The 8,200-nt window shown below is 44.4% G+C and overlaps 1 protein-coding gene across 2 annotated transcripts, besides 1 other annotated feature; it reads right to left on the bottom strand.

The window, feature by feature from the left end:
* Positions 1-6,642: 6,642 nt before the first annotated feature.
* CDRT15 (CMT1A duplicated region transcript 15) lies at positions 6,643-7,832 on the bottom strand. Of its 2 annotated transcripts, none has more exons than NM_001348781.2 (3): positions 7,666-7,832; positions 7,252-7,400; positions 6,643-6,981 (listed from the first exon to the last, which is right to left on the bottom strand). In NM_001348781.2, exons 1-3 carry the CDS (start codon positions 7,727-7,729, stop codon positions 6,826-6,828), a joined length of 369 nt encoding a protein of 122 aa, NP_001335710.1. In that variant the 5' UTR covers positions 7,730-7,832; the 3' UTR covers positions 6,643-6,825. The 2 variants fall into 2 exon arrangements, with proteins under 2 accessions (NP_001335710.1, NP_001007531.1); NM_001007530.3 differs by having other exon boundaries at positions 7,542-7,832.
* Positions 7,056-7,563: an enhancer, noted in NCBI's record as "H3K27ac-H3K4me1 hESC enhancer chr17:14139403-14139910 (GRCh37/hg19 assembly coordinates)". NCBI's record gives its function as "activates a minimal SCP1, AML or CMV promoter by ChIP-STARR-seq in naive H9 embryonic stem cells {active_cell/tissue: H9 hESC(naive)}" and the evidence as "EXISTENCE:reporter gene assay evidence [ECO:0000049][PMID:30033119]".
* Positions 7,833-8,200: the final 368 nt, after the last annotated feature.

The following is an 8,200-nucleotide window of genomic DNA, read 5'->3' on the forward strand; positions in this document are numbered from 1 at the left end:
GCCTCATTAAATCAGGCGAGAGCTGCCAACGTATACAACTTTGGCTTTCCTAATTAAAGTTCTGCTGAAAAAAGCTGCCCCTCTCCTCTGACTCTCTCACAGGAATGCACTCTCGTAACAGAGGCATCTGCCCCCTGGACTAACCTTTCTTAAAACCAGATAAACAAAGTAATACCAATAAAAATATCCATCTGTGTTTAAAGATAAATAGAGCATTAATATACCAAACTGAGATCTGGATTCTTTTGGAACCAGCTTTAATGATATTAGACATCTGTTCTGGCTTGCTTTCCACTCATTTTCCACTTGCAGATTCTTATAAGAAAACCATGTGACAGCAGTTTTTCTGTGGGAAGTGGGGGTGCCACCTGAACCCCTGCCCTTTCTCAGGTGATTGCCCCAGTAGAGGGTAGTAGATCCCAAAGGTGTAAGCCAGTGATGTCCCTTACCATGTGGCAGTCTGTTTGGGCCTCATTGTGGATTTTAAGCACTGTGATCTTTTTACATGTTTATTTTTGAGATACCAGAACGCCAACTTATTCCTTTACAATGGTAAGTGGAATTGTCAAGTAGACCAGATGCACAAATGTTGGCACAATCGTGGCAGCCTTTCTCATCCTGGAGTTAAGTCGTATGAATATCCAAGAAATATCCAGGAGCTATTCATTTACCAGGAGAGAGCAGTTTCTCTGGCAGGAAAGGTGGGAGGTCCCCATGATGATTGTTTCTTTTAAAGAGAATTGGACTTGGATGACAAAAAAAACACCCTTTAAGTGTTTCTTTTACCATTTTTAACACTCAAGAACAATTTCAGGCAAAGTACTATTGTGGGAAATCTTTCTCCACTTAAATGCAGACTTGTCGACCTGGATTTGTTAGATTTGGTGCTAACTCCAAAGTGACTACGGGCAGATCAGTGGGGGTGGGGGCCACGTTGGAAATGTGCGGGGGCATTCAGAATTGTTCCGATGATGGGAGAGATGACACTGATTTTTGGTGCCCGAAGAACAACAATGCCAGAGGCACAGCAATTTGAGGGACAGTCTTAGTCGAATTGCCTGTTTGAAATGCTGATATAACAGGGTATTGAGAAGCACTGACTTTTTCAAATAATGGACACTTTTTTTGAAACAAAAATCTTACACAGGACACCAATATATAAAACTCATTGAAGGAGAGCTATTTTGCCTGACAGAGAGGAGGTCTCTGAAATACTTCTACGAAACATAGTTTGAGAACCACTATTTTAGCTGATACCAAATGGCCATAGAGCTTTACTATTCTGTCTGGTTCTACTATGTTATAAAGACTAAGTAGTTTACTTTTACTTTTTCTTTCTTTCTTTCCTTTATTTTTTTTTTTCGATATGGAGTCTCACTTTGTTGCCTAGGCTAGAGTGCAGTAGCGTGATCTTGGCTCACTACAACCTCCACCTCCCAGGTTCAAGCAATTCTCCTGCCTCAGCTTCCCAAGTAGCTGGAACTACAGGCCCGTGCCATCACACTCGGCTAATTTTTTGTATTTTTAGTAGAGATGGAGTTTCACCATGTTAGCCAGGATGGTCTTGATCTCATGACCTCGTGATCCGCCCGCCTTGGCCTCCCAAAGTGCTGGGATTACAGGCGTGAGCCACAGCGCCCGGCCAATTTCACAAATAGATTTTTTTTCTTACTGTAAATCTTAGCAAGCTCAGCATATGAATTTTTTTTTTTCCTTAAATTGAAAGCTTTTACCCTTTCACTTAAAGGCAGCACTTTATGGCTTCTCTTGGGCATATCCAAACTGCTACCATCACTACTCGTGTTAGTCCATTTTCACGCTGCTGATAAAGACATACCTGAGACTGAGAAATTTACCAAATAAAGAGGTGTACTGGACTTACAGTTCCACATGGCTGGGGAGGCCTCGCAATCATGGTGGAAGGCAAGAAGGAGCAAGTCATGTCTTACATGGATGGCAGCTGGCAAAGAGAAAGCTTGTACAGGGAGACTCCCGTTTTGAAAACCATCAGATCTTGTGAGACTCATTCACTATTACAAGAACAGTGCAGGAAAGATGCACCCCTGTGCTTCAATCACCTCCCAGCAGGTTCCTCCCACGACATGTGGGAATTGTGGGAGTTACAATTCAAGATGAGATTTGGTTGGGGACACAGCCAAACCATATCACTACTCTTGTGCTTTGGGGCCATTATGAAGTAAAACAAGCATTATTTGAAGACAAGGACTGCAATACCACCACAGTAGATCTGATAACTGTTGGCTACTAAGTGACAAAGGGGCAGGTGAAGTATACAGCGTGGATGCGATGGACAAAGGGGAGGATCTACCTCCCAGCTGGGATGGAGCAGGACGATGCAAGATTTCATCACACTACTCAGAAAGGCATGCAGTTTAAAGCTCGTAAATTATTTCAGGAATTTTCCATTTAATATTTTCAGGCTGTGGCTGACCGTGAGTAACAAACCCAGGAAAGCGAAACTGCAGAACAGTGGATGGGAGAAAGGGTGAATTACTGTATATTCATGAGGGATATTAGTCCATAGTTTCTTTTTTCCCTTTTAACAAATTTTTGGGTTTTGTATATAGTTTGTCTGGTTTTGGTATCAGGGTAATACTAGCTTCATAAAATGAATTGGAAAGCGTTTCTTCTGTTTTCCGAAAAAGATTATATGGAATTAGCATTCATTCTTTAAACACTTGGTAGAAATCTTAAGTAAAACCATCTGAGCTCGGAGATTTTTTTGTGTGTGTTATAAAATTACATATTCAGTTTCCTTAATATTTATAAGATCATTTTAATTATCTGTGTTTTTCAGTGAAACGGGTCCATTTTCTGTATGTTGTCAAATTAATATTTGTAGAATTGTATTAGTATTCTTAATTATCCTTTTGATGTCTGCAGAATCTGTAATGGTATCCCTGTTTTATTTCTGAAATTAATTTGTGCCGTTATGTCTTTTTTTCTTTGTTGATCTTGTCAGAAGTTTGTCAATTTTATCAATTTGTTCCAAGAACCAGCTCATTGATTTGGTTTCAGTTTCATTGATTTCTACTTTTATCTTTATTATTTCCTTCTTTTTCTTGCTTTTGGTATATTTTGTGCTTCTTTTTCTAGGTTCTAGAGGTGGAAGCATACGTTATTGATTTGAGACCTTTCCTCTTTTCTAATGTGAGCATTTTAGTTACATTTAGTTCCCTCCTAGGACTACTTTAATTGGGTTATTGAGAGGTGTTGAAGTCTCCAACTGTATTTGTGGATTTATTTATTTTTCCTTTCAGTTCTATTAGTTTTAGCTTCACATTATTTTGCAGCTCTGATGTTTAAAGGTGCATGAACATTTAGGCTCACTACGTCTCAGTGAATTGACCCTTTTATCATTATGTAATATTCCTCTCAGTCTCTGGTCATTTTCTTTGTGCTGAAATATACTTTATCTGATAATATAATGACTGTTCCCTGTAGATTAATATTTTCAGGATGTATCATTTTTATTTTTTTATTTTCAACCTGCCTGTAATCATTATATTTGCAGTGAATTTTTTCTAGACACTGTATAGTTGAATCATTTAAAAAAGTCTGCTCTGGCAATGTGTCTTTTAATTGGTGTATTTAGATCATTACATTTAATATATTTACTGATATGTTAGGGCATAATAATTTTTTGTTTTCTGTTTGTGTCTCTGCTTATTATTTCTGTTTTCTTTTTCCTGCTTCCTTTGGGTTGTTTGGACATTTCCTTTAGAATTATATTTCAATTTATATATAGTTTTTTTTTAAAAAGAGTATCTCTTCATACAGATTTTTTTAGTGGTTATAACCAGCTGATGCTGCTGGTTCGAGAGCCCTTTGGCTGAGAAAGCAGATAGCTCACCAGCCCGGCAGCCTGGGTCTCCAGGTAGTATCAGGTCAGGCCAACGACACTGAGACATTTGTCCACCCTGAGAGGACTCTGAGCACCTGTGGCTGAGGCCAAAGGACCACAGGGCTAAGGATGGGGAGACTCCAACTCCAGTCGATATGCATACCTTGGCAAGCTTCTCACTACAGCCCACTGTTCATGGAGAAGCTGGGCCTTGCAGATCGACCAGAAACCCCCACGATATGCCACTTTCTGCCCCTATGTCCTGCGTGTCCTGGGCATTGGCCCTGTCTCCCTTGGCAAACACAGAACACTGTTCCATCTCAGAGATTGCTTCACCAGAGAAACAGATGCATTTATGGTACTGTAAGTACTATAGTATATGTGTTGCCAATTACTGTAAAGTCGTAAGTATTTATAATTCTGGTTCTGATTTGATGGGCACTTGAGGTAGCTGTGGGTGGGAGGGTATGCTTATTGTCCGAGGAGACTCACAACCATTTCTCAGGTTTCCCTTGCAGAGTGTGTGCCGTTACCAGTGGGATAGTGGGTGTGCCAAGGAGAAAAATGGCCAGTTAGAAAAAAATCCCAAGACTAGTCTATGCAGAATCTCTCGCCTACAGACAGGGCATTAATAGCCCAGTGGTGGGTGAGCGGCAGAGGCCAGGACTGGACTCAGACTTTTGCCTCACAAAGCTGTGAGGACTCTGAAGGTCCTGCCCCTGCCTCACACAGCCTCGCCAGGAGTCTGCTGAGCACCTTTGAAACAAGAACAGGGAAAAGATGAAGGTCTGGGAAGCCACTGAGCTCACAATATTCATCTACACTGGTCACCTTTGTGTTAGAGAGTGTGTGTATCTGTATGACTGAGTACATGTGTCTACGTGCATAGATATATCTGCGCAAGCCTGTCTGTATGTGCACATTATATGTTGATGTGTACGTATGTCAGTTCTATGGCTGTGTACCTGGGTGGATATGTGCACACTGGAATGTGGGACCTGTGTGAGAATGTAACATTTGCTTGCATGTGAGGATGCATATCTATGTGTAAATGCTCTCATGTCTTGCATGTTTAGTGTGTGTGTATCTGGGCACACATGAGTGCATGTGTAGAGATACGTGTCTGTGTGTATGCTTGCTCTCCATGCATCTGTGTTTTTATATGTGTAACTGAGTGTATTTCTACATGTGGGGGTGACTGCGTGTTCCTCTTTGAGGATCTGCATGAATGTGTCCTTTTTGCGAGATTTCTCTTCCCATTCGTCTTACATCTCTCTCACTAGTTAAATGTTCCCCATCTCTGTGCCTCCTCTATTCATTCTCTCTCACCAAATGAGCTTCTAAGCACCAGTCTCCTTCTGCCATCAGATTGGCTGTTTTCACTGCACAGTTCTCTTCTCACCCCGTACTTGCTTTCTTCCCCTGCCTTTCTCTGCCTGCTTTTGTCACAGTCTCATTGCTTGCTGACTTGGAGGCTAGGGCTGGTCTTCACTTAGCCTCTCCCTTCCTAATTTCTAGCCCCAGTGGGCAACCCTGTCTTAGCCCTGGCTGACCTCCACAGTGAATCATCATGTTCCTGCTACTTTCCTGACCCCTATACTCAGCCTGGAATTATTGTAGGAGATAGCAAGAGCATTCAGAAGAGTCAGTTGGTTACCAGTGCCTTGGTGTTTACTCTTTTATGTCTTAGTTCCTTAGCTGGGGGTGGGGTTTGATAGGGAAGGGGTGGTATAGCTAGAATGCAAACTAAGAACTTCTCCATCTGCTTTCCTTTTTCTTTCGTTGACAAAATGTCACCTTTTCTACTCCAAACTGACCAAGAAGTTGTATTTGCCGTTTGTGGCTACTCACGTCCTACTGCCCAGCCAAGGGACCCTATAACATCTCAGTCCAATGAGTTGGTTGAAAAGAAGAGAGGGAGAGAGTTCACTCTCATTTTCGTATCACAATTGCCCTTCTTTTTAGCAAGTGTATGAACTCACAGTGCTTTTCTATGAATAAACCATGGACCACATGAAAGATCATTTTTCTTAAAGAAAAAAAATTCCCTAAACCCAGAGGGGACCAGCAAATACTTAACAGGAGATTAGAGATTTCCTGTGAGTGCATATGGTGCGGGGTGACCTGATTCTGTGAAGCAAATGTTATTGTCCTCCTTAAATTCATGTGTTGAATTCTAATTCTATGTGATGGTATTTGGAGGTGGGGCCTTGGCAGGTGATTCAGTTCATGAAGGCAGGGACCTCATGAATGGAATTGGTGCCCCTTCAAAGGGACTGCAGAGAGCTCCCTCATCCCTTCTGTCATGTAAAGACACAGTAAAAAAGATGGCTGTCTATGAACCAGGAAGTCAGCCCCACGGAATCTGCTGACAATTTGACCTTGGATTTTACCATCTCCAGAACTGTGAGAAATCAATTTTCTACGCTACCTAGTCTATGGCATTCTGTTTTGACACCCAGATTAGCTAAAGTAGCAGCATATCAACTTGCACACATAATTCTTGGAAACTCTGATGCCAAATCCTTGATGGCAAAAGGTGATTGATCTGCCGGAGACATGAGCCTACATCATCCCTCTTTCCACAATAAACCAGAGAGTCAAAACAGTCAAGAGTAGGTCAAGGTCTTCTAAAAGCCATACCTGAAAGGTTTCCAATAACAGATGACTCGATGGTAATTCAGCCACACAAACAACCACAACAAAAGACACAACTATCAGAGATTTTCAGGATAGCCTCAAAAACACCATCTAACATTAGGGAGTTCAAAAAGGCATGAAGTTTCAGAAATCAAACTTTATTGTAATCTCGTTTCATCAACTTGTAATTCTAACACTATTAATAAATGGTAGGGCAGGTGGTGGCATGGAGAGCCTGGGGCACAACGGCTGTCGTTAAAAGCTTTGTTTGCTTTACCCTTTGGAGCCACCTCCTGGTCCCCTCACCCACTGCCCGCCTGTTAAGGGCCTGTCCCGGGCAGCACATTAGGGGCAAACAGCCTGGATGCCCAGCTGTGGACCCGCATCCATGCCTGGAGGAGGAGGTTGCCTCTGGGAGCAGGCGTAGCTGCTGGAACTCTTCTTCCCAGCCTTCTTTTAATGCTCTCCGGCACCTCCTGCACACAGATAAACCAGGATCAGGAGAATAAACGGACCTGCAGCAGCAGGACTGTGGTTCTAGTGAATGAGAGAAGCCTCTCTCCAGCGAGGTACAGGAGGCCAGGCCAAATGCCCTGCTCTCTGCCTGCATGTTTGCCACCGTGCCCAGGACTAGGGGCAGCATGGGAGCTGCTGGCTGGGGCTGTGCTGGTCACCCCCTCCCTCCCACTTCTCTCTCCAGCCACGCTTTCAGTTCCAGGGTTAGGGCTAGTGGCTACAGTACGTGCCGTGATTTCAGGCAGCTCCTCGTTGGTCTGGTCCTTGGCTGGAGCTCCCTCCAGCTCCAGTGCTCTCTCTGGAGGGGCCTCTTCCCATGCTGGCTCTGGCTCCGCCGCTGGTGCTGGCAGTGCTCTTACTTCTGCACATGGACCAGGAGCTGAGAAAGGAGAAAGGGTCACCAGCCTCAGTCACTTTCCACTGGAATTTCCAAACACAGAAACGACCTCACTGAATTTAAGGGAATTCCAGCCCAAAATCACCGCCCCCGCAAAGTCTTCCAGGCTGCAGGCCACCTCACCAAGTGTCTGTGCCTCAATGAGCTCCTGAATCTCCTGGACAAGGACAGTGTGCAGCTGCAGCCCCAATGGGATCTCTGGTGTGGCCTGGCCTGCTAGGGCCTGCCCCAGGCTGTCCTGTGGTACCTGGATGCGCCTTATTACAACGGGCGACAGGCGTCTGGGGTGAGGGATGAGCCTTCTTCGGCATCGTCGGAAAAGGCTCTCACTCCCTCCATTCCTGAAGCAGCAACCTCTCGAAGTGGGGAAGCAACACGAGAACATCTTGCTCTCTTGAGCGACTCCCACCAAGTGAGCTGTTTACGGCGCTGACTCTAGGATATGGGTGCCTGGTTACCAGAGTTCTAAGTTCTGTTCGTGTGGTCATCATCCAGGAAGTGAGGTCGCTTCTTTACGGTTCTGTCCCCTAGTCCCCTTCCTTCCATAAGACCTACTCAGGACTCCACTGGGCTGCTGACTACTCACCCTCCCCTCAGGTCATCTCCTGACCCGTACACAGTTATGTCCACCCAGGGTCTGCTTGGACACCTGTGCCTGATGTTCACCAGGGGCCAGATGTCGTCCTCAGGCCTGATGTCCACCTGGGGCCTGATGTCTGCCTTGGCCTATGTCCCTCTTGGGGCCTTGTGTTCACCTGGGGACTGTATCCAGCTGGGGCCTG

This window comes from Homo sapiens, chromosome 17 (genome assembly GCF_000001405.40).
Source record: "Homo sapiens chromosome 17, GRCh38.p14 Primary Assembly".
Classification (NCBI taxonomy): Eukaryota; Metazoa; Chordata; class Mammalia; order Primates; family Hominidae; genus Homo; species Homo sapiens.

Bases quoted from the DNA above. Each gene is read 5' to 3' on its own strand.
- CDRT15 (NM_001007530.3), bottom strand. From the start codon at position 7,803: ATGTTCTCGTGTTGCTTCCCCACTTCGAGAGGTTGCTGCTTCAGGAAT. The intron at 7,401-7,541 runs GTGAGGTGGCCT...CTCCTTTCTCAG, and splicing joins CATTGAGGCACAGACACTTG to CTCCTGGTCCATGTGCAGAA. The intron at 6,982-7,251 runs GCACGTACTGTA...ATCTGTGTGCAG, and splicing joins AGGAGCTGCCTGAAATCACG to GAGGTGCCGGAGAGCATTAA.